Source organism: Homo sapiens, chromosome X, assembly GCF_000001405.40.
Source record: "Homo sapiens chromosome X, GRCh38.p14 Primary Assembly".
Taxonomy (NCBI): Eukaryota; Metazoa; Chordata; class Mammalia; order Primates; family Hominidae; genus Homo; species Homo sapiens.
The window spans coordinates 104,131,360-104,157,424 of record NC_000023.11 but is presented as its reverse complement, the minus strand read 5'-3'; the positions used below and the strand labels follow the sequence as shown (position 1 = coordinate 104,157,424).

At 42.6% G+C, this 26,065-nt stretch overlaps 2 protein-coding genes across 2 annotated transcripts in view, besides 1 other annotated feature; one reads left to right on the top strand and one right to left on the bottom strand.

Moving 5' to 3' along the window:
- FAM199X (family with sequence similarity 199, X-linked) overlaps positions 1-359 on the bottom strand; it is a 38,837-nt gene extending 38,478 nt beyond the window's left edge. Inside the window, exon 1 of the mRNA XM_047441826.1 lies at positions 275-359. The gene's annotated coding sequence lies outside the window, so the exon portion shown is untranslated. The remainder of the gene's footprint in view (positions 1-274) is intronic.
- Positions 343-642: an enhancer, noted in NCBI's record as "active region_29826". NCBI's record gives its function as "activates an Ori minimal core promoter by ATAC-STARR-seq in GM12878 lymphoblastoid cells {active_cell/tissue: GM12878}" and the evidence as "EXISTENCE:reporter gene assay evidence [ECO:0000049][PMID:35858748]".
- Positions 416-26,065, top strand: part of SLC25A53 (solute carrier family 25 member 53) — a 57,796-nt gene continuing 32,146 nt past the window's right edge. Inside the window, exon 1 of the mRNA NM_001012755.5 lies at positions 416-547. The gene's annotated coding sequence lies outside the window, so the exon portion shown is untranslated. The remainder of the gene's footprint in view (positions 548-26,065) is intronic.

The window sequence follows — 26,065 nt, the reverse complement described above, 5'->3', positions numbered from 1 at the left end:
AGTCTGTGCTCTTTACATATGCAGCTAAAGAGTCAGACAAGAACCAAAAGGAGATGGAGAATAGAGGGTAGAAAGGGCACAGGTTCAAGGTGAAAGGTCAGAAACTGCAAATTCGGAGTTTGGGTTGGTCTAGCAGCTTAAAGGCGTCATCATGAACTGTTCACCTAAGTAAGTTAAGCTCCTGTTTGAGAATGACTGATAAGCTTGCAAGCCAACTTACAAACAAACTGGGGAAATGTTCCAATAGATGACTAAGTCTTTTAGGTCTTTTTACCTGTGTTTTTCGGTCTCTATACCAGATTAGTCGCCTGGCTCTCCCAAACAGACCGGCCAACTGACGTAGTCGCGAAACGGTTAATGTCGAGGCGGGGGCGGGGGAGGCGGAAATAAAGAGAGCGGAAGCAAAGAGGATTGTGGGAGCTCCGTTGTGCGTCGCTTAAGTGAGGGCGGCGGATGGGCGAAGGTCCGGTGACTGCGACTGTCGCTGCTTTCTGAGGCCACAGGAAAGGGGCCGTCGGTCGCCGCCATGACAGCGAGCGAGGCGGAGGTTTGTAGCACTTCTTATGGGCTGAGGGCGTAGACACATCCTGCTTCCAGCCTAGCAGGCAAACGGGAACGGAAGTGATAGGGGATCAGAAGTTGCGAGGGGATGAGGAGTAGGGGAAACTGACAAGCGGACGGACCCGGCGGCGAGAATTGATGGCGTAGCTGTAGGATTAAGGGGCGTGTCAACTGTGTTGTGTGTGTTGACACTGAGATGTGTGAATCCCCTCATTATTTTTAGCTGGGGACAGGCGGGGTCTATGGGGGAGGGGGCGGACGGATGAATGGAGGATAAAATCAGGGCGAAAACGTGTTGTCTGCTGGGCACCAGTACATCTGAGTCACATCTCAGCAGGATGATTTTATTGGAAAGATCTAGGTCCCTGGTTTCAGATTCTGCTATTGATGCGTTGATTGATTTCCCTTACCAAAATACCAAGTACCTGCTCTGTGCTGGGTACTGCACTAGAGGCTCCGGATGAGGAAAGGAATTAGGCTTTTTCCTCGACATTTACAGCCTGCCGGTTGCTATCTGCATTTGGAGACAGGCTATTACAATACAAGGAGACAGAGATAGATCCTGTGTTATGAAAATCTATTGGGTGCCACCGAACTCATCTGGGAGTTGAGATCTGGGACGGCTCTTTGATGCGGTGATTTAACATATATTTTGAAGACAAAATAAGCAGGGCAAAAACGAAGTGCAATTTTCCTCCAAGCACCTTCCCTCCCTGTTGAGGTGAACTGGAGAACTGAGTAGCATTTAAGGCCCAAAATTAGTGTATTTCTTTTTTTTTTTCTTTCTTTCTTTCTTTTTTTTTTTTTTGATAAGGAGTCTCTCTACTTCTGTCGCCCAGGCTGGAATGCAGTGGCGTGATCTCCGCTCACTGCAACCTCCGTCTGCCGGGTTCAAGTGATTCTCCTGCCTCAGCCTCCCGGGTTGCTGGGATTAGAGGCACCCACCACCACTCCCGGCTAATTTTTATATTTTTATATTTTTAGTAGAGACGGGGTTTTACCATGTTGGCCAGGTTGGCCTCGAACTCCTGACCTCAAGTGATCCGCCTGCCTCGGCCTCCCAAAGTGCTGGTATTACAGGCATGAGCCACCGCGCCCGGTCCCCACAACTAGTTTATTTCTGGTAAGAGCATTTGCCCATCACAATGGGACTTCCAGGCGCCTCTGGAAGAATCAGTCTTACGTGAGTGCAAAGCCTGCAAGCTCTGGGTAGGACTACGATGGAGGTGCTAGTTACTTGGTTTTCCAGCAAACTCGGTTCACAGCAGGGAATTGTGCACCCACCAGAAATCCTAAGCAATATTTCTCTGAACAAGAAAAGAAGCCTCTTTGTTTACCAGAGAAACAACAGTATAGCAGTCTAAGTCAGTGGCTCTCAAACTTTCCTGTGAATCAGAATCAGATGGAGCGTTTCTTAAAACCAAGATTGCTAGGTCCCATCCACAGAGTTGCCCCTACAGTTGGTCAGGAGTGGACCCCCGAATTTACATTTCTAACTAGTTCCCAGGAGATGCTGATACTCCTGGACATGGGGCCATACTTGGAGAACTATAGGTCTAAACGGAGCTGACAATAAATTGGAAAGAATATCTCCTGGAATCTCTTAGAACCCGGGAGGCAGAGGTTGCAGTGAGCCAAGATTGCGCCACTGCACTCCAGCCTGGGCAACAGAGTGAGACTCTGTCTCAAAAAAAAAAAAAGAATATCTCCCCTAGGGAAGGCTAGGCACACTCCTAAACGTCAGGCATGTCTGAATTCAGACACAGTAGATATGAAATAAAATGGACTTATTTGACACTGCTTAGAAAATCTTTTTATTTTTATATTTGTATAATTTTATTGTATATTTACAAATTGTATACATTTATAGAGTTCAAAGTGGTATTTTATATATATACAATGTAGAATGATTAAATCAAGGTAAATAACATATTCATCACCTAAAATTTTATCTTTTTTTACACAAAAATGACTCAACATGGAATTTAATAGTTTTTTTGTGGTGCTAACATTTGAAATGTACTCTTAGCTCTTTTGGAATATGAAATTTTGAAATATCACCACCATTCTATTCTCTGTGTTTGTGGGTTCCATTGTTTTAGATTCCACATACAAGTGAGAACATGAAGTATTTGTCTTTCTGTGCCTGGCTTATTTCACTTAGCATAATGTTCTCCAGGCTCATCAATGGACAGATTTTCCTGATTTTTGAAGACTGAATAATATTTCATTGTGTATGTATAGCACATTTGCTTTATCTGTTCATCCACTGATGGACACTTAGGTTGATCCCATAACTTGGCTATTGTGATAAATCCTGCAATGAACATAAGAGTACAGATATCTCTTCGACATACTGATTTCAAATTCTTTGGATATATACCCAGAAGTGGGATTGCTGGATCATATAGTAATTCTATTTTTAGTTTTTTGAGGAACCTCCATACAGTTTTCCATAATGGCTGTACTAATTTATATTCCCACCAACAATGTATAGGGTTGCCTTTTCTCCATATCCTGGCCTGTTATCTTTCACCTTTTTGATAATAGCCATTCTGGAAGGTGTGAGATAATATATCATTGTGATTTTAATTTGCATGTCCCTAGCGATTAGTGATGTTGAGCATTTTTTCTTATGCCTGTTGGCCATTTGTGTGTCTTCATTTGAGAAATGTCTATTCGGGTCCTTTGTCCATTTGTTAATCAGGTTGTCTTTTTGCTACTTAGTCATTTGAGTCCCTTATATATTTTGGACATTAACACCTTATTAGAAGTAGGGCTTGCAAATATTTTCTCCCAATCTGTAGGCTGTCTCTCCCCTCTGTTAATTGTTTTCTTTGCTGTGCGGAAACATTTTAGTTCGATGTAATTCCATTTGTCTAGTTTTGCTTTTGTTATTTGAGCTTTTGGGGTCAAACCCCAAAATTCATTGCCCAGACCAGTGTCCTGTAGTTTCTTCCCTAGGTTTTCTTCTTGTAGTGTTATGGTCTCAGGTCATATATTTAAGTCTTTAATAAAATGGATGTGTTTTTGTTGTTTGTATGTTTTGGATGGTCGAGCAAAGGTCATCTTCCTGAACTAAACAAAGCAAATTGTTTTTCTCCATTGTACTTGTCACAGTGACTTATACCATAAATTGTTTAAAAACACAAAGTAGCAGTTTTCTATTCAAATCCCTTGCTGATTTTTATATATTCAAGTAGTTGTTTACAGTGGAGTTCACACCTCCACTGTATCAACAACGAAAAATGAAGTGTTCCTAATTTCTGGTAATAAATTATGTTTGAGGTTAAAAATTAAAAAGACAATGTGACAAGCTAATTGACAGACAAAGATTAGTATAAGAAGTCAGAATTGGTAGGTAGTTCCACCCCCACCAATAAAACTCTCCCTTTAGAAGAAATACAGTTATTCACTGCATAGTGGCATTTTGGTCAACGATGGACCACATATATTATGGTAGTCCCAGAAGATTATAATGGAGCATATATAGAAACCTGATATACAGCACTTGATATTGGCATTGCAGATCAGTTGCGGTAATGATTGATGTTCATTATTGGTACTGGAACATTTTGTTTTCCATATGAGAAAAAAAAAATATATATATATATATACACACACTCTAGGTTTGTGTAAGTACAGTCTATGATGTTCTCACAATGAAATTGCCTAACGATGGATTTCTCAGAATATATTCCTGTTGCTATGCAAGGTGTGACTGAAATCATTTTATTTACTCTAGAACACAGAATCAGAAATCTCATTTTGTTACAGCTTAATTTGAAGCCTTCCTTTAGGGGGTGGCCCTAAACAGACTCCTGGAGGGTGGCAGTCCACAGTTATACCTCCCGTTCAAACCCCCTCCCATGACCCTGAAAAAGGCTAGGACACATTTTCAGAAATTTCACTAATCATTCTAGACTCTTGTCAATGCTTCATCCCAAATCTCGCTAGGCCAGTTACAAAACAAAATAAATGAAACCCCAAACCAAACACTCAGACACACATAAAAAGACAACCAAAAAGTCCATACAAACTGGCCTGAGTCTATTGTGAGTCTTTGTAGGGGCCAGCAAGGTGCTAGAATGGCCAGTGCCTTGGATGTTTCAGAAATCTGTTCTCAGGCTGGGCGCGGTGGCTCACGCCTGTAATCCCAGCACTTTAGGAGGCCGAGGCAGGTGGATCACCTGAGGTCAGGAGTTCAAGACCAGCCTGGTCAACATGGTGAAACCCTGTCTCTACTAAAAATACAAAAATTAGCTGGACGTGGTGGCAGGTGCCTGTAATCCCAGGTACTCAGGAGGCTGAGGCAGGAGAATCGCTTGAACCTGGGAGGCAGAGGTTGCAGTGAGCCGAGATCGCGCCATTGTACTCCAGCCTGGGCGGCAAGAGCGAACCAAGAAAATGTGGCACATATACACCATGGAATACTATGCAGCCATAAAAAATGATGAGTTCATGTCCTTTGTAGGGACATGGATGAAGCTGGAAACCATCATTCTCAGCAAACTATTGCAAGGACAAAAAACCAAACACCGCATGTTCTCACTCACAGGTGGGAATTGAACATTGAGAACATATGGACACAGGAAGGGGAACATCACACACCAGAGCCTGTCATGGGGTGGGGGGAGGGGGGAGGGATAGCATTAGGAGATATACCTAATGCTAAATGACGAGTTAATGGGTGCAGCACACCAACATGGCACATGTATACATATGTAACAAACCTGCACGTTGTGCACATGTACCCTAAAACTTAAAGTATAATAAAAAACAACACGAAACAAAAAAAACAGAAAAGAAATCTGTTCTCTATCATGTCCATATTCCAAAGGAGTCAGCGAGACAACCACATATGACTCCTGAAAATTAATCAACTTTTGCACGTGATTGGTGAGCCTCTCACTTAATGCTTGTGCACTTACCCTGCACCTCCACAGTAGTCCTCATCTGTCTAAATCCACACCTAGTCTTACAGGTAGTGTTATTTTCCGTGAAATGTGAGGAGATAAAACAAACTTATGTAAGTTTGAACTCTGTAGCTCCATTTCCTAAATGATGCCTGAGTAGTAATGATTTAATTTTGTTGCATGAACATTCAGTATCTCAGGGACCCTGAGAGTGGACAGATGGTTGTGAAGGAGAATTTTGGGCTATGGGTGTCAAAGCAGCAAACGCGATTACTCCAGAATTCAAGTTCAGATGGGATTGTTCCCAGTCCATATTTTCTGTGTGCTACAGCTGATTCCTTAAACTAAACTTTAAATCAATATGTGTCTCTGACCTGAAGTGGGGTGGGGATTCTGGTCTGGCACTGAACTACTAGGTTATGGAGGTCGGTTTTTTCTTTGGAATGGTTTTTCTGAGGGTAAGAGTCCTTGCATCAAGTGAGTGAGAACTGTAAAGGAGAGGAGGAAAAGGGTAATGATAATGTCACGTTTTTGCTTTGCAAAATAAGATTAGGAGAAAAATGAAGAACACACTAGGAGGAGGAGGAGGAGGTGGCAGAAATAGGATTGTGAATCTGGGATCTGCAACTGAGATGTCCTATGCCTACCTATTGCTTTTCCCAAAGCAGAGGCTTAAGCACCCTGTGTGTGAAGCCAGATTTCCTTTAGGTCCTGTGACTGTGCTGGGGACAGGGCAGCTGTTGCCATTGTTATTGGAATAACCTTTCTGCACTTGATAAGGTGATAAGGAGGAAACCTGGGGGACCAGATCTCATATACACATATATTTAAGATATATATATATAACTTTAGGGGCATTTTAATAGCTTCTGGCAGTCTAAGGATTTATATAATTGTCTGCCAAAACTGCAGTGTAAAAGAGCCAAATCGAAAGTCTGACTGAAAGCTAGAATTCAGGGGATGGGAAGTGACCTCTGCTAGGAACGAGTTTTCTTATGCGAGGTCCTTAGAGGAGTCGTCACTGCCCTCTAGCCCAAGACCACCAGGAACACACCTGTGGTTGAACAGGTTGGGTTGATTGCTCAGTGCATTACATGGAGGGAGAGCGCACACCATGGGCGCTGTGGTGCTTCTCTGTTGGAGGGTGTCAGAAAGGACTTATTACGGGATTTGAATCTGTGTTAGGTGAATTTGGGGAAGATTTAAAGAAGTGAGGCTTTGCCCTGGATTGGACTCTGTTAGGAAATGGGAATAATTCTGTGATTGTGTATCTTAATGACTCTTATCCAGAAGGAGGCTAATTGGTAAAGTAGCACCGGTCACTGTTAGCAAGGATAGCAGAGTGTTTGGTCATTTTTATGGCTTAGTCAAAGTTCATGTTTTGTTTCTTCAGATACAGTTATGAGGTGGTCTTGCTTTTTTATTGGTCACTGTGGTCACATATTGGCCTTGTCTGATAGTGGCAGTTTATGAAATTGTTATGTTCATCGGGAGAACACCAAGGCCCAGCTGTGAGTGCCAAGCCAGTTGCCACATGTCAGTGGTTGCTTTTTTTCCTCCAGAGTGATCAGCACTGGGTCCAGCAGCTTATTGGAGGCCAGATTTCCTGGCCATTTATAGCAGATAAATAGTCAGATATGCTGAACAGGAAAGCTTGGGGCTGGATGTGGATGAAAGCATTTGGTTACCTTCTTTTTTTTTTTTTTTTCTTTTTTGAGACAGAGTCTTGCTCTGTCACCCAGACTGGAGTGCAGTGGTGCGATCTCAGCTCACTGCAGCCTCCGCCTCCTGGGTTCAAGTGATCCTCCTGCCTCAGCCTCCCAAGTAGCTGGGACTACAGGTGTGTGCCACTACACCTGGCTAATTTTTGTATTTTTAATGAAGATGGAGTTTTGCCATCTTGGCCAGGCTGGTCTCGAACTCCTGACCTCAAGTGATCCTCCCGCCTCGGACTCCCAAAGTATTGAGATTACAGGAATGAGCCACTGTGCCCAGCCCTCTGGTTACTATCTAACAGAGCTTAGGAGCCTCAGTTAAAATATTAGTCTCCTGAGGTGGTTTTTCCCTAAAAAATCAGATCAAAGTATACTTAAGCAGGAGAAGTACATGGGAGAAAGTGGCAGATTGTATTTTTCAGAGATGGCCACCGTAGTACCTGTCATCCCACACTCTCTTCTGTAATGTGACCTTGCCACCCTTCCATTGAGAAGTAGGGTCAAATGTCTCCTCTCCTTTGAATCTGGGCCAACTTTGATTATATTAACCAATAGAATAGGGGGCAGTGAAACTGTGACTTCTGAGGCTAGGTTATGAGAGGCAGTGTAGCTTCTGGCTCACCTGCAGTGACATTCACCTTTAGAGCCCTGAGCTGCCATGTACAAAGTCTGATTACCCTGAGGCTGCCATACTGTTAGAAGGCCCAGGCCTATGGTAAGGCCACCTATAGGTCCTCTGATCAACAGCCCTAGCCGAGGTTCCAGCTAATAGCCAACATTTACCAGTAGCCTGTAAATGAAAACTCCTAAAGGATTACGGCCCCCAGCCTTCTGGTTTTCCCAGGTGAGGCCCCAGACATTATGAAGTAGAAACAAGCTATCTCTGCTCCATGATGTCTCAATTCTTAAACCACAGAATCCTAGAACAAAGTAAAATGGTTGTTTAATGCCACTAAATTTGGATTGGTTTATTACGAAGCAATAGTAATTCAAACAGAGGTGGGGAGTTTGGTTAACATAAAAGGATTGAAGTAAAAGGAGCAAGGAAGGCAAATAGTTGGTAGAGAAGAAACAGGCTGGTACACAAAGCATTTTGCTTTGCTGCTGATGAGGGGCTTTTTGATCCCAGAGACTTCAGAGTGGACAGAAGTGGACAGTAGAGGGGAAAATGGGAAGATAATTTATCCATTATGCTAAATGAAACTGCTGTGGATAAATGAAAAATCTATAGATAATTGTGCCTCCTTTTAAAATAAGATCTTGAACTATTTATTTTTTAACTGAACATCTTGATTAAAACTAACAGAAGTGTGTGGAGTTTTTTGTAAGTAAAAAGTAGTAATAATATTAACAGTGGCCAACTATTCAGTGAGTAACAAGATTTTTTTTTCTTTTTTGTTATTATACTTTAAGTACTGGGGTACATGTGCACAACGTGCAGGTTTGTTACATAGGTATACATGTGACATGTTGGTTTGCTGCACCTATCAGCTCATCATTTACATTAGGTATTTCTCCTAATGCTATCCCTCCCCCGTCCTCCTACCCCATGACAGGCCCCTGTGTGTGATGTTCCCCTTCCTGTGTCCAAGTGTTCTCAATGTTCAGTTCCCACCTATGAGTGAGAACATGCAGTGTTTGGTTTTTTGTCCTTGTGATAGTTTGCTGAGAATGATGATTTCCAGCTTCATCCATGTCTCTACAAAGGACATGAACTCATCCTTTTTTATGGCTGCATAGTATTCCACGGTGTATATGTGCCACATTTTCTTTTTATTATTATTATACTTTAAGTTTCAGGGTACATGTGCACAACGTGCGGGTTTGTTACATATGTATACATGTGCCATGCTGGTGTGCTGCACCCATTAACTCGTCATTTAGCATTAGGTATATCTCCTAATGCTATCCCTCCCCCCTCCTCCCACCCTACAACAGTCCCCAGAGTGTGATGTTCCCCTTCCTGTGTCCATGTGTTCTCATTGTTCAATTCCCACCTATGAGTGAGAACATGCGGTGTTTGATTTTTTGTCCTTGCAATAGTTTACTGAGAATGATGATTTCCAATTTCATCCATGTCCCTACAAAGGACATGAACTCATCATTTTTTATGGCTGCATAGTATTCCATGGTGTATATGTGCCACATTTTCTTAATCCAGTCTATCATTGTTGGACATTTGGGTTGGTTCCAAGTCTTTGCTATTGTGAATAATGCCACAATAAACATACGTGTGCACGTGTCTTTATAGCAGCATGATTTATAGTCCTTTGGGTGTATACCCAGTAATGAGATGGCTGGGTCAAATGGTATTTCTAGTTCTAGATCCCTGAGGAATTGCCACACTGACTTCCACAATGGTTGAACTAGTTTACAGTCCCACCAACAGTGTAAAAGTGTTCCTATTTCTCCACATCCTCTCCAGCACCTGTTGTTTCCTGACTTTTTAATGATTGCTATTCTAACTGGTGTGAGATAGTATCTCATTGTGGTTTTGATTTGCATTTCTCTGATGGCCAGTGATGGTGAGCAGTTTTTCATGTGTCTTTTGGCTGCATCAATGTCTTCTTTTGAGAAGTGTCTGTTCATGTCCTTTGCCCACTTTTTGATGGGGTTGTTTGTTTTTTTCTTGTAAATTTGTTTGAGTTCATTGTACATTCTGGATATTAGCCCTTTGTCAGATGAGTAGGTTGCAAAAATTTTCTCCCGTTTTGTAGGTTGCCTGTTCACTCTGATGGTAGTTTCTTTTGCTGTGCAGAAGCTCTTTAGTTAAATTAGATCCCATTTGTCAATTTTGGCTTTTGTTGCCATTGTTTTTGGTGTTTTAGACATGAAGTTCTTGCCCATGCCTATGTCCTGAATGGTAATGCCTAGGTTTTCTAGGGTTTTTATGGTTTTAGGTCTAACGTTTAAGTCTTTAATCCATCTTGAATTAATTTTTGTATAAGGTGTAAGGAAGGGATCCAGTTTCAGCTTTCTACATATGGCTAGCCAGTTTTCCCAGCACCATTTATTAAATAGGGAATCCCTTCCCCATTGCTTGTTTTTCTCAGGTTTGCCAGAGATCAGATAGTTGTAGATATGCGGCGTTATTTCTGAGGGCTCTGTTCTGTTCCATTGATCTATATCTCTGTTTTGGTACCAGTACCATGCTGTTTTGGTTACTTTAGCCTTGTAGTATAGTTTGAAGTGAGGTAGTGTGATGCCTCCAGCTTTGTTCTTTTGGCTTAGGATTGACTTGGCAATGCAGGCTCTTTTTTGGTTCCATATGAACTTTGAAGTAGTTTTTTCCAATTCTGTGAAGAAAGTCATTGGTAGCTTGATGGGGATGGCATTGAATCTATAAATTACCTTGGGCTGTATGGCCATTTTCACGATATTGATTCTTCCTACCCATGAGCATGGAATGTTCTTCCATTTGTTTGTATCCTCTTTTATTTCCTTGAGCAGTGGTTTGTAGTTCTCCTTGAAGAGGTCCTTCACGTCCCTTGTAAGTTGGATTCCTAGGTATTTTATTCTCTTTGAAGCAATTGTGAATGGGAGTTCACTCATGATTTGGCTCTCTGTCTGTTATTGGTGTATAAGAATGCTTGTGATTTTTGTACATTGATTTTGTATCCTGAGACTTTGCTGAAGCTGCTTATCAGCTTAAGGAGATTTGGGGCTGAGACGATGGGGTTTTCTAGATATACAATCATGTCATCTGCAAACAGGGACAATTTGACTTCCTCTTTTCCTAACTGAATACCCTTTATTTCCTTCTCCTGCCTAATTGCCCTGGCCAGAACTTCCAACACTATGTTGAATAGGAGTGGTGAGAGAGGGCATCCTTGTCTTGTGCTGGTTTTCAAAGGGAATGCTTCCAGTTTTTGCCCAGTCAGTGTGATATTGGCTGTGGGTTTGTCATAAATAGCTCTTATTATTTTGAGATATGTTCCATCAATACCTAGTTTATTGAGAGGTTTTAGCATGAAGGGCTGTTGAATTTTGTTAAAGGCCTTTTCTGCATCTATTGAGATAATCGTGGTTTTTGTCGTTTTTTCTGTTCATGTGATGGGTTATGTTTATTGATTTGCATATGGTGAACCAGCCTTGCATCCCAGGGATGAAGCCGACTTGATTGTAGTGGACAAGCTTTTTGATGTGCTGCTGGATTCGGTATGCCAGCATTTTATTGAGGATTTTCACATTGATGTTCATCAGGGATATTGGTCTGAAATTCTCTTTTTGTTGTGTCTCTGCCAGGTTTTTGTATCAGGATGATGCTGGCCTCATAAAATGAGTTAGGCAGGATTCCCTCTTTTTCTGTTGTTTGGAATAGTTTCAGAAGGAATGGTACCCGGTCCTCTTTGTACCTCTGGTAGAATTTGGCTGTGAATCCGTCTGGTCCTGAACTTATTTTGGTTGGTAGGCTATTAATTACTGCCTCAATTTCAGAACCTGTTATTGGTCTATTCAGAGATTCTACTTCTTCCTGGTTTGGTCTTGGGAAGGTGTATGTGTGCAGGAATTCATCCATTTCTTCTAGATTTTCTAGTTTATTTGCATAGAAGTGTTTATAGTATTCTCTGATGGTAGTTTGTAGTTCTGTGGGATCGGTGGTGATATCCCCTTTATCATTTTTTATTTCGTCTATTTGATTCTTCTCTTTTCTTCTTTATTAGTCTGGCTAGTGGTCTATGTATTCTGTTGATCTTTTCAAAAAACCAGCTCCTGGGTTCATTGATTTTTTTGAAGGGGTTTTCATGTCTCTATCTCCTTCAGTTCTGCTCTGATCTTAGTTATTTCTTGTCTTCTGCTAGCTTTTGAATTTGTTTGTTCTTGCTTCTCTAGTTCTTTTAATTGTGATATTAGGGTGTTGATTTTAATCTTCCTGCTTTCTCTTGTGGGCATTTAGTGCTATAAATTTCCCTCTACACACTGCTTTAAATGTGTCCCAGAGATTCTGATACGTTGTGTCTTTGTTCTCATTGGTTTCAAAGAACATCTTTATTTCTGCCTTCATTTTGTTATTTACCTGGTAGTCATTCAGGAGCAGGTTGTTTAGTTTCCATGTATTTGTGTGGTTTTGAGTGAGTTTCTTAATTCTGACTTATGATTTGATTGCACTGTAGTCTGAGAGACAGTTTGTTGTGATTTCTGTTCTTTTACATTTGCTGAGGAGTGTTTTACTTCCAACTATGTGGTCAATCTTAGAATATGTGTGATGTAGTGCTGAGAAGAATGTATATTCTGTTGATTTGGGGTGGAGAGTTCTGTAGATGTCTGTTAGCCCTGCTTGGTCCAGAGCTGAGTTCAAGTCCTGGATATCCTTGTTAATTTTCTGTCTCGTTGATCTAATATTGACAGGGGGTGTTAAAGTCTCCCACTATTATTGTGTCAGAGTCTAAATCTCTTTGTAGGTCTCTAAGAACTTGCTTTATGAATCTAGGTGCTCCTGTATTGGGTGCATGTATATTTAGGATAGTTAGCTCTTCTTGTTGCATTGATCCCTTTACCATTATATAATGGCCTTCTTTGTCTCTTTTGATCTTTTTATAAACAACTCAAGATAATTGGCTGAAAATAGTTAGTGAGACTTCCCCAAAGGCTCGTCAGCATAGGCAACTACAATATTAAATCTTGTTACTCTGATTTCCAGCAAGATGGCCGAATAGGAACAGCTCTGGTCTGCAGCTCCCAGCGAGATCGATGCAGAAGGCCAGTGATTCTGCATTTCCAACTCAGGTAAACCGGGTCTGGAGTGGACCTCTACTGCTTAAGATCTGTTTTATCAGAGACTAGGATTGCAACCCCTGCTTTTTTTTGCTTTCCATTTGCTTGGTAGATCTTCCTCCATCCCTTTATTTTGAGCCTATGTGTGTCTTTGCACATTAGATGGGTCTCGTGAATACAGTACACTGATGGGTCTTGGCTCTTTATCCAATTTGCCAGTCTTGTCTTTTAATTTGAGCATGTAGCCCATTTACGTTCAAGGTTAATATTGTTATATGTGAATTTTATCCTGTCATTATGATGCTAACTGGTTATTTTGCCCGTTAGTTGATGCAGTTTCTTCATAGCGTCGATGGTCTTACAATTTGTCATGTTTTTGCAGTGGCTGGTACCGGTTGTTCCTTTCCATGTTTAGTGGTTCCTTCAGGAGCTCTTGTAAGGCAGGCCTGATGGTGACAAAATCTCTCAGCATTTGCTTGTCTGTAAAGGCTTTTATTTCTCCTTCACTTATGAAGCTTAGTTTGGCTGGATATGAAATTCTGGGTTGAAAATTTTTGTCTTTAAGAATGTTGAATATTGGCCCCCACTCTCTTCTGGCTTGCAGGGTTTCTGGCAAGAGTTTTGCTGTTAGTCTGATGGGCTTCCCTTTGTGGGTAACCTGACCTTTCTCTCTGGCTGCCCTTAACATTTTTTCCTTCATTTCAACCTTGGTGAATGTGATGATTATGTGTCTTAGGGTTCTTCTTGAGGAATATCTCTGTGGTGTTCTCTGTATTTCCTGAATTTGAATGTTGGCCTGCCTTGCTAGGTTGGGGAAGTTCTCCTGGATAATATCCTGCAGAGTGTTTTCCAACTTCGTTCCATTCTCCCCGTCACTTTCAGGTACACCAATCAAACGTAGATTTGGTCTTTTCACATAGTCCCATATTTCTTGGAGGCTTTGTTCTTTTCTTTTCACTCTTTTTTCTCTAATCTTGTCTTCTTGCTTTATTTCATTAAGTTGATCTTCAATCACTGATATCCTTTCTTCCTCTTGATTTATTTGGCTATTGAAACTTGTGTATGCTTCACGAAGTTCTCATACTGTGTTTTTCAGCTCCATCAGGTCATTTATATTCTTCTCTACACTGGGTATTCTAGTTAGCAATTCGTCTAACCTTTTTTCAAGGTTCTTAGCTTCCTTGCATTGGGTTAGAACATGCTCCTTTAGCTTGGAGGAGTTCGTTATTACCCACCTTCTGAAGCCTACTTCTGTCAGTTTGTCAAACTCATTCTCTGTCCAGTTTTCTTCCCTGCTGGTGAGGAGTTGTGATCCTTTGAAGGAGAAGAGGCGTTCTGGTTTTTGGAATTTTCAGCCTTTCTGCGCTGGTTTCTCCCCATCTTTGTGGTTTTATCTACCTTTGGTCTTTGACGTTCGTGACCTACCGATGGGGTTTTGGTGTGGGAGTCCTTTCTGTTGATGTTGATGGAATTCCTTTCTTTGTTAGTTTTCATTCTAACAAGTCAGTTGGAGTTTACTGGAGGTCCACTCCAGACCCTGTTTGCCTCAGTTGGAAATGCAGAAATCACCCGCCTTCTTTTTTTTTTTTTTTTTTTTGAGATGGAGTCTCGCTCTGTCGCCCAGGCTGGAGTGCAGTGGTGCAATCTCGGCTCACCGTAAGTTCCGCCTCCCAGGTTGACGCCATTCTCTTGCTTCAGCCTCCCGAGTAGCTGGGACTACAGGCGCCTGCCACCATGCCCAGTTAATTTTTTTTTTTTGTAGTTTTAGTAGAGACAGGGTTTCACCATGTTAGCCAGGATGGTCTCCATCTCCTGACCTCGAGAAATCACCCGCCCTCTGCCTCGGTCTTGTTGGGAGCTGCAGACCAGAGCTTTTCCTGTTTGGCTATCTTGCCGGAAATCAGAGTAACAAGATTTAATATTGTAGTTGCCTATGCTGACGAGCCTTTGAGGAACTCTCACTAATCATTTTCAGCCAATTATCTCGAGTTGTTTATAAAAAACGATTTCTACTTTGCTTTGGTTATGTGAATGTTTGCCTCAGTATATCTTATTTGAGGTGTTTAACATATGACACGTGGCTAGCGTTAGTGTTGAAACTGTGAAGACGTTTAGCTGTTCAATCTTCCTTGGTAATAGTACTTAGTTATCAGAGATTGAAAAGACATTTGCTCATCTCTGTCTCATTGTGTGAGAGGAAAACACAGTGTTATTTCCAATGACATGTATGGAAGTTTCATTCTTTTAATCTGGCAGAAACTGGTTCAGTTTTTTTTGAAACAGGGTCTCACTGTGTTGACAGTTGGAGTGCAACAGTGAGATCATGGCTCACTGCAGCCTCAACTCCCAGGCTCAAACAATCCTCCCACCTCAGCCTCCCAAATAGCTGGGACTACAGGAGACTGCCACCATGCCCAGCTAATTTTTGTGTTTTTTGTACAGACAGGGTTTAACCATGTTGCCCAGGCTGATCCTGAACCTTTTTCTTTTAAAAGACTAGTCAAGCATAGTAGTGAGAAGGCTGGTTCACTTTTAAAGTCTCCATATGTGGCCACATTTTAGATTTTATATACATCAATAGTTTTTGCTGGGTAACCTATTCTATCTGTAGGTAAGAATGGAAGTCCTAGGACTGGGTGTGGTGGCTCACACCTGTAATCCCAGCAATTTGGGAGGCCAAGGCAGGTGGGTCGCTTGAGCCCAGTAGTTGGAGACCAGCCTGGGCAACATGGTGAAACCCTGTCTCTACAGAAAATTCAAAAATTAGCCAGGCGTGGTGGTGCATGCCTGTGGTCCCAGCTACTCGGGAGGCTGAGGTGGGAGGATCGCTTGAGCTGAGGCGGTGGAGACTGCAGTGAGCTATGATCACTCCAGCCTGGGTGACAGAGTGAGACTCTATCTGGAAAAAAAGAGTAGTAGAAGTCCTTGTACTGTTGGAATTGTTTAATCAGTGAGCATTCAGAGATATTGGTTATAAATGTTGAGTATGGCTACCAACTGACCACATGGTTATGGGCCAAGGTACAAAATGTCTGAGTCACTTGTTTTATTGTAAAAATTCATGTGAATGTCTAAGGTTTTGAAGATTTACACCTGTGTTTTCTAGGAGTTTTACATTTTTCTTTCCTATGCCTTTGTTTTGTTTTCAGGTAAGTTTGGCATGTGGTGTAAAGTAGGAGCCCAGCTTTGTTTTCCAGGCGCATATCCAGTTGTCCCAGCAGCTGGATTTCACAGCTTACTGCGATTGCGAGGCTTCTGGTTTTCAAGGCTATCACTGAGCAAAAGAGAGGGGGATGTGAATAGGGCAAGTTAAAAGGCCACAAAGATCAGTGTTCTTGCTAAGATTCAGTTGTTTTCTTGAATAAATGCTCCTTAGATCGCTGCAAGCTTTTGGGTAATTTCCAGAATATTGAAAAACTTGATTTTAACAATTTTTGCCAATATTCTCTTTGCTGATTTGAGGAGCAGATTTTTTGGAGGTTCTTACTCTGCCATTCTGAAAATGCCTACTCATAAGTTTCTGTTTTGCCTGGGGCATAATCAGATCTCCGTATGAAATAATAATTTTGATATATGTGTATATTTGGGTCAGAACTTCTTAGCGGTGGGCAGGATTTGGACTGACCAAAAAAAATGCTTAAGGTGGCCTTCTCCTGTCTCTTCAGGACTCTAAAAGACTGTCCTGGGTGGAGGCTGGGCTGTGTTCACAAGCAGGCCAGTGGGTGAGAACTATGGGCAGCCAGTGAGACCATGTCATTTTTGTCCCTGCCAGACTGTTTCTGTGCTCATAGACATATGAAAACATCTGGAGATACGTTTGAGCTCATTTTTTTCCCCAGAGATGGACTTCCAATTTCCTCTACTGTTTATGGTATTCCCCAGAAAATTTGTTAGACTTGGACCTCTCCTTTAGAATGAATTTGGGAGAGACCAATGTTAAAGGGGGTAATTGGAGAGACCAGGGAAGGCTTCTTGCAGGAGCTATGAGTTTTAACCTAGTTCTACAGAGTGAGCAAGAGGTGATTAGTTGAAGAAAATAGGTGGTAAGAAGTAGTTCAATTTAACACAAGCCATGGAGATTATATGTAATTAAATCCCCTCACTGAACCAATGCAAGAATAAAAGCCAGGCTTATCCCTGGGAGAAAGCCAGAAACTATGCTGTGATACACACACACACACACACACACACACACGGAATCCTGTCTCTACAAAAAAGACAAAAATTATCAGGGTGTGGTGGCACATGCCTGTAGTCCCAGCTGCTTGGGAGGCTGAGGTGGGAAGATTGCTTCTTGAGCTTGGGAGGTCCAGGTGGCACTGAGCCTTGATCCCACTACTACACTCCAGCCTGGGGAACAGAGTGAGACTCTGTCTCAAAATAAATAAATAAATAAGGAGGGGAGGCTGTATATCATAGTCATAAAAAATTCAAGACCTGATGTCAGACAACTTAAGTTCAAATGCCAGATCTTCTGCTTATTGGCTGTGTGACCCTGGGAAACTTACTTTATCTCTTTGGTCCTATTATATTTGTAAAATGGGAATATCTACCTGCTTCACAGGTTTGGTGAGAAGTTTAAATGAGAGAATGCATCAATAGTGCAAAGCACAATGTCTTGCATAGAGTGTTTACTAAAAGCCACATTTTATTTTATTTATTTTTATTTTATTTATCTGTTTATTTATGTATTTATTTATTTATTGAGACAGAGTCTTGCTCTGTCGCCAGGCTGGAGTGCAGTGGCACAATCTCGGCTCACTGCAACCTCCGCCTCCTGGGTTCAAGCAGTTCTCCTGCCTCAGTCTCCCTAGTAGCTGGGAGTACAGGCACACACCACCACACCCAGCTAATTTTTGTATTTTTAGTAGAGATGGGGTTTTGCCATGTTGGCCAGGATGGTCTCGATCTCTTGACCTTGTGATCTGCCCGCCTTGGCCTCTCAAAGTGCTGGGATTACAGGCATGAGCCACTGCACCCAGCCTATCTTTATTTTTTTGAGATGGAGTTTCTCACTCTGTTGTCTAGGCTGGAGTGCAGTGGTGCAATCTTGGCTCACTGCAACCTCCACCTCCCAGGTTCTAGCAATTCTCCTACCTCAGCCTCGCAAGTAGCTGGGATTACAGGCATGTGCCACCACGCCCAGCTAATTTTGTAGTTTTAGTAGAGACAGGGTTTCACCATGTTGGACAGGCTGGTGTTGAACTCCTGGCCTCAAGTGATTCACTGGGCTCAGTCTCCCAGAGTGCTGGGATTACAGGCGTGAGCCACTGCGCCTAGCCAATTTTTATTTTTGAGACAGGGTCTTACTCTGTCAGCCAGGCTGGAGTGCAGTGGTACCATTTCAGCTCACTGCAACTGATAGGGAAGGGGAAAGGGAAGTACTGGGAAGGGAAGAGCATGATCCCTTTAAATGATATGGAAGGAGGGAAGAGTGTGGTCCCTGGCTAGGCCTCTACCCCCGGGCCTATGCCCATGGACCTGGGTGAGGACAGGCATTTTTGTTTTCCTGCCCAAATGTTGCATTTCCCAAGACCACCCTGGCCTGCCATACCACCATCCTGTGCCTATAAAAACCCCGAGACGCTAGCAGGCAGACACACATGTGGCTGGGCATTGAGAGGAGCACATCAGTGGAGGAACACACAGGTGGCTGGATGTGGAGAGGAACGCATCGACAGTTACCAGCACGCCGGCAGGCCATTGAGCGGCAGAACGACACGGAGTTTGGCTAGGGCAGTCAGAAAAAACCTGGGCCGCAAGCAGCCTGACTCCAGAGGAAAACCATCTCCCTTCTGGTTCCCCCGTCTACTGAGAGCTACTTCCACTTAATAAAATCTTGAACTCATTCTCCAAGCCCACGTGTGATCTGATTCCTCCAGTACACCAAGGCAAGAACTCCAGGATACAGAAAGCTCTCTGTCCTTGCAATAAGGCAGGGGTCGAATTGAGCTAACACAAGCTGCCTACAGGCAGCTAAACTAAAAGAACACCCTGTAACACACGCCCACTGGGGCTTCAGCTGTAAACATTCACCCCTAGACACTGCCGTGGGGCTCCCAGCCCATCTGTATGCTCCCATAGAGGTTTGAGCAGTGGGGCACTGAAGAAGTGAGCTACACCCCCCATTGCACACCCTGCAAGGGGTACGAGAGAACTTTTCCTTTTTCACAACCTCTGCCTCCTGGGCTTAAGTGATCCTAACATCTCAGCCTCCCCAGTAACTGGAAGTACGGGCACGTCACCATGCCTGGCTAAATTTTGTTTTTTTTTTGTAGAGACGCCGTCTCCCTGTTACTCAGGCTGGTCTCAAACTCCTGGCCTCAAGCAATCTTCCTGCCTCAGCCTCCCAAAGTGCTGGGATTACAGGCGTGAACCACTATGCTGGCTGGTGGGCAGCCACATGTTAAATCTCTGAGTCTAGCCATAAATCCAAATATCAAATGCACAAAGCCTAAAAACCGTGTGAGTGTGGTCAAAATAGAAACTTTTTGAATGCGTTCTGAAATTTATTTCTGTTCTGTTCACTTTTAGAATTTGGTAGCATCTTGAAAATGCCAACTTGTCTCCATCATGTTAGGAAGAATCATATGGAGTGTTTTGTTTTTTTTGGTCTATATTTGAGACAGAACATCTGTGAACAAAAGGTCTCTGAAAAGGAGACTGGAAGAAAGAGACTTCCAGTGAACAGTTGCAAACCCAGGAGTCACAGCCTCCAGTGTAAAACAAAAGTACATTTATAACGAAGGATTGAAGCATGGTTAGTTCTGATTGGTCAATGCAGCTGAGTTCTGGTTGGTCCATATAGCATAGCCCTGATTGGTCAACACAGCTGAGCTCTGATTGGCTGAGGAAGATGAGCTCTGATTGGTTGGTTCAGGGAAGCACTGAAAGTCTGAAAGATAAAAGAGTGCAGGTTTTCAGGGAACTCAGAGTATGTGTGTGACCCCTAGTCGGCAAATGGCTCGTTGGCTTTATTTTACATTTAGGCCCAGTGAGCTGCTCAAGATCCATCTTGAAGGATTGGCTTTTTCAGGTTTATGTTTGTTCACACATGAAAGGAGGAGCACTCACTTTGGGGCTTGGGGGGTGCAGGGCTACAGTAGAGGCAGGGATCAAGCAGAGCGTATCTCCAGGGGTTAGGTGAGATTCAGAGGGATGGAGTCAAGTTCCTGATCAGCTAAACCTCCTACTAGGAGATTCTACTACCTGAACTTTTATCTCCTTGAATTTGGGAGGTACAAGGTTTTTATTTATTGAATCATCAAACATGCATTGAGGCGGGGGTTACAGTAGTTTGTTTGTTTGTTTGCTTGTTTTTAACTATTGCATGAGTTCTGGACCCAGGGCAGGCTTGAATCTGAGCTCTAGCATTTCCTGGCTGTGTGACTATGGACAATTTACCCAACCTTTCTGTTCCTCTTTTGCTTCATCTGTAACACGAGGATAATCATATTATCTACCTCACTGAGTTGTGAGCATTAAATGGGATAATACAGATACAGTATTCAGTGCTCAACAAATATTAAATATTATAATAATTATTTTATAGTGGTTGGAAATATGGCTATTTTAATTCTCTGTGTACATGTTTAATTCTTTACATGGTCAACTGGTTTTGTTCATCATTGTTTCTCCTCTGCCTGTCTGTTCTAGGTACGACACTTACAAATTTGTTGGGTGCATGAATGAATGCGTACAGGTAAACATTTATAATACAATGAGAGGTGCTATAATAGAGCTTGAGTACAAGACACTTTGCAGGACATGGAGAAGGATATGATTAACTTTGAGCAGTTCCGAAACAGTTCACTGAGCGAGGCTGTTCCCTTCTAGAATTTTCACAGTGCAGTGGGCTGTCAGAGCAAACTGCACTGGGGAATTAAGTAAAGGGATGCTAGATAGCCACCAGGTGGCGATATTGCAGAAGGATTCAAGTAGCGGAGGAAAGGAGCAGCCCTCTTCCAGCCAGGAGTCCATGTTCCTGTCCACGTCAGATTTTTTCTCCTGTCCACGAAAGTTCAAGCTGTGATTTCTTTCCCTTTGTTCTGATGGTCTTGGAGCACTGCCGTTCCTGCCCAAGGCTGTTTTGGAGCTGCCTAGTGCTCCAGCCATTCTGTCATTACCAGACAGAGGACAGAAATGATGCTGTTTCCAGTTCTTCAGTTGTTGGGCTTCTAATTCTTACATCACTGACCTGCCGTTTCCTCTGCTATGCCTCCCATGATGGAGTTAAAGGGGTGAGGGGAGAAGCAAAACTGACATCTTTTGAGACTTCCGGCACTATGTCAGACATATATACATATATAATATGTATGCATATTATATACATATATAATGTGTATGCATATTGTATACATATATAATGTGTGTGTTATATGTAACATAAATACATAATTATATATTTTGATATGTGAGTTGTGAGCCATTTTATATAGTGGGAAGCTGAGGCTCAGAGAAGGGCATCTTTTCAGTATTCAAATAAAATTCTCTAGTTAATCAAAGTTGGTATCAGATATTGGAGATACAAAGATTAGGAAGATGTGGTTCCTACCCCTAAGTCTTGTGCTCCTGTAATACTCTGTGGGTGTGTCTATCACAGGACTTATTGCATCATGTTATTAGTGGTTATTTATATGTCTGTCTTCTCAGATAGATGGTAAATTCCTTAAAAGGCAGCAGCCATTTCAAGCATTCCTCATACTTAGCATAGGCTCCAGTACATAGTAGATATTTAACTACTGTGAGGCACAGAATAATTGTGTCTGATTGAGCAGTGGGAACTAGTGAAGAGTTTCAAGCAGGGCAGTGACATGATGAGTTTTTCGCTGGAGGTGGGTAACAGGTTGCCCATTGGATTGGAGCAGTGAGTGGAGGCAGGCAGGGAGGTGACTGTGGCAGAGTCTGTGCTAGAGGGGATTTAGGCCAGAACGAGGGCAATGGCAGTGAGTATGGAGAGAAGACAGGTTGGAGAGTTATTGAGGACATGAATTAGGATTTGGTCGTTTCTTAGATGTGGAGATCGAAGAATTCCAGGCTTGGGTGATGGTGGTGCCAGCAACAGGTTCAGAGTAAAGAGGGGAAGTGGGTTTGGGGTGGGAAACACGAGTTCGGTTTTGGACATGCTGAGGTTGAGGTGTCTATTCAGGGGGTGTGATATATCAGGATGTGTGAAACCAAAACTCAGGAAAGAGGTTAGGAGTGAAAATCTGGGGATCATGAAGCTGTCGGTGGAGCTTAGAAGCTTGCCAGGGGATGCCATCACTCAGGGGCAGGACATGCAGTGAAACAGGAAGTGGGCTAAGGATGGAACCTGGGAACCTTGACACAGATGGGCTGAAGAATGAGAAACCCATGAGAAAGATGGAAAAAGAATAGCCAGGGAGATTGGAAGCAAACCAGGAGGGTGTGGTGCCACAGCAGCCAAGGGAGGAAAGAGTTCAGGAGGGAGGGAACACGGGAGTGGTTAGTACTTTAGAGGCAGGTAGGAAGTTGAAGGTAGAGAGTAATTCAGTGTGGCTGGGCTTTGGGGCATCATGGAGGAGTGGCAGGAGATGAGCCCAGAAAGTCCATTCGGGCTCTTATGCAAGGAACCTTGGTCACCAGGCTAAGGAGTTAAGGCTTTATTTTGTAGGAAAGGAAGAATCATTGAAGGGTTTCCAATAGGAGTAACATGGTCAGATCAAGGTGTTTCAGAAAGGTCAGGCTGAGGCAATGTGGAGGACGCTGTGGAGGAGGCAGTGACTCATTGAAGTGATGGAAAGTGGCTTTTGGGCTGTGAAAGAAGGCACAGTCTTCCAAGATCTTTAGTAGGTAAAATTGAGACGCCTTGAAAATGGTAGTTAACACTCATTGAGCACTGTTCTAAGTGCTTACGTGAATGATCTTAATTCTCACAACCCACCTATGAGGTACATTAACATCATTTTATGCCTAAGGAAACAGGAACAGAGAGATAAAGTAATATGCTGAACAGAACTAGTAAGTGGCAGAGCCTAGATTCAAACTCAGGTGGTTTGGCTCTAACCCACACTCTTAACTTCAGTGTTGTTTTGCCTTGATTAGATGTGGGGAGTGAGGGGGTTGTCAGTTAGCATCAGGTTCAGCTGTGAGTTATTAGCCATCCAAAATAACTTATGGACTTTCTGTCCTATCGTCTCCACCGTGTGACACTTGTCCTCTGGTCATTGCATTTATGTTTCAAGCAGTAAAATACTGGGTAGGGGGAAGGGGAGAACAGATGTTGGGGAACAACAGAAGTCTCTGCTGTAAGAGAAATCCCAGGACACTGACATTTGCGTGGAGGATGATATTGCCACACATTGAAGTGGCAACCACAGGAAACCTGTTAGACCTTTATCATTTGACAGTTTCTTTTCCCAGAATCCTTCCTTTGCCTTGGAAATGAACCCCTCTGTGACTCTGGTGTGCTGCTCCTCTCCTGTCTAGCCATTCAGTGCTCATGAGAGCTTCCAATCATAGTACCTGTCTCCCTGGCCACAGTTGATTCGATTGGTTGAGGTGTGGCATGTGGTCTAGGTCAGGACAATCAGAATGTTTTTCTTCAATTTTTAAAAATTTAATTGAGGGAAAATATTGCCTCTTGGTTTTGTGGCACAGCTAGGAGATGTGTGGCCAGAAGCTGCTGGTGGCCCTTTTTACAGCCACGGGGAGGAAACTTGTTTCAGAGAATGAAGTGAACTTACAGGAGGAGCAATTGAAAGATTCCTGTTCATGTTCGAGTCTCTGATTGTACTTGTCCTTGAGGCTCATCTACTTATGATTATGTGAAACTTCGGGTAAATTGACTCTGTGGCCCAAATGGTGTTTCTATTACTTGGAATCAGTAAAGTCCTAATTAAATCTGTGTTCAAATAGGTAATTCTGGAATCAATGCAGATGTGTTTAGGGTTTCTGTGTGTGCTGGGGGTCATAGTAAATAGTAACCAGAAGCAGGGAGGCAATTTTTGAGACTGTTTTAATGGTCTACATGAAAAACAATAAGAATCTGAACTAAGACAGTGTCGGTGGGTGCTGTAGGTCCTGGCCAGGCTTGCCACTCCCAGTCTCTTCTACCTTCTAGACTGTGAACCAGCCACCCACCTCTATAGGGTGCTCATCTTTACATGGTTGCAGTACAGCTGGTAACTATTCATTATGAGCATATTTTCCTCTGTGTCCTTGGGAATCATTATAATAGCTGGTTAAAAATTCCTGTCTGCTAATTCTAACATGTCAGTCATCTCAGGGTCAGTCTTCATTGATTGCCTTTTTTCTTTGGTATAGGTTACATTTTTCTGTTTCCCATAGGAAACGTGTTCAATCATTTTGACTTTTCTCAAAACAATGTTCAGTCATTTTGACTTGTCTCCTGGCTATTGCAGAGGACATGTTCTAGAGAATCTGGATTCCATTATATCCCTCTGAAAAGTATTGACATTTTTGTTTCAGCAGCATTTAACTTGACTAAACTCAAATTCCATGCTCTGTCTCCCTCATGGCAGGCAGCAACTGAAGTCTCTAGTCAGTTCTTTTAGCCTTATACAGACTGTTTGGAGACTGTCCCATGAATGCATAATTCAGAGGTCAGCCAGTGATTTGGTAGAGTTTATACACAGAATTCAGGGCTCTGCCTATCTGGCTCTCTCCATTCCAAGATTTTATCCCCACAGTTTTCAGCTGCTGTGGAAACTCTGAACTCTGTCCTCTTGTCTTCAAGTCAGTAAGGTTCACCCATCAGGGAATTGATTGGGGCCTACCCTGTGGTTCAAAGTCTTAAAAATGGGAATCTCATTTAGTTCTGATCTCTTCTTTTAAATGTAGATTCTCCTCCAGTTTCTGCCTGCCTTGGGTTGCTTGTCAATACTTGCAGGTAATTAAAAAAAAATTTTGTCCAGGGTGTATAGTTGTTACATCTGAAGGAGGATGGATTTGATAGGAGCTATTTGGTCATTTACTAGAAGCCAGAATCTGTCTGGTCACTGTGATGTAACCTGTGGTGTGTGTAGCCACGATGTGCTGGCAATGTATTAAGAAATTATACACAATCTGGATGTGAGATCCAGATGATGAGGCTTGATAAAGGCAGTTTTTATAATCACACTAAATGCAATTGATGTTTCAGGACGGCATGTTCAGGGGCATAAGGAGCTTGATTAGCCAGTAAGCCCCCAGTTGGGGCTTCCCAGGAACTGAAGTAACCTCACCCTAGAGGTTACCGAAAGGCAACATGCCATTGCTACCAACTTGAGTGCCTCTCCCCATGTGGAGTTTAACTCATTAAATATCTCCTATCCTGATATCTCTGGATCACCTCTGCTTTACAAAAAAATGTGTTTGAGTGTATTATAGTAAATGTTAATTTCTATATGGTTTACAGATCAGAATGATGAACTGAGACCCCCATCTAGTCCTCTGCCAGAGACCTAGTATTTAGGATGGAGAGGAATAGATAAATTGACAAGCTTTTTAGCAAGTTGAATGGTCGGGGATCAGTGACAGATTGTATTCAGTATAATAGGAGAGATGGTAGAGTTAAGGATGACGTCCAAGTTTCAGCCTTGTGCATCTAGGCGGGTGGTAAATACAGGAGAGAAAACACAAGGAAGAGAGCACGTGTAAGGAAGACGAATTAAGCTTTGGCTGTTTGAAGTACCCGCTGGACATCTAGGTGAGTACATGAGATTCTGGATCACTGGAGAGAAGTCTGGGATGGCGATATATATTGAGGAATCACCAGTAGATAAGTGATAGATGAGGCTATAGGTGTAGTTGATATAACTAGGTAGCATATACAGAGTGAGAAGAGAACTGATAGCAAAACCCAGTAGATAAGGGGAGAGCCTAAGAAATAAGTCACTTTAGGAGACTGAAGAAAAGACAAGGAAAGGTGATATACAGAAGCTAGGGGAGGAGAATTTCAAGAAGGAATTTAGTGGTCAATAGGGTCCAATTCCAAAAACAAAAACAAAAAACAAGCAAAACAAGTACTGACAGGCATCTATTGGATTTAACAACTAAGAGGTCTGTCTTTACCTCAAAGATTACAATTTCAATGGAGTGATGAGGAATGCAGTGGTTTGAGGAGTACATGGGGGCGGTAGTCTGTAACATGTGGCTCCTATCAACCAAGCCTCCAAGTAACTGTACCTCTGTGTA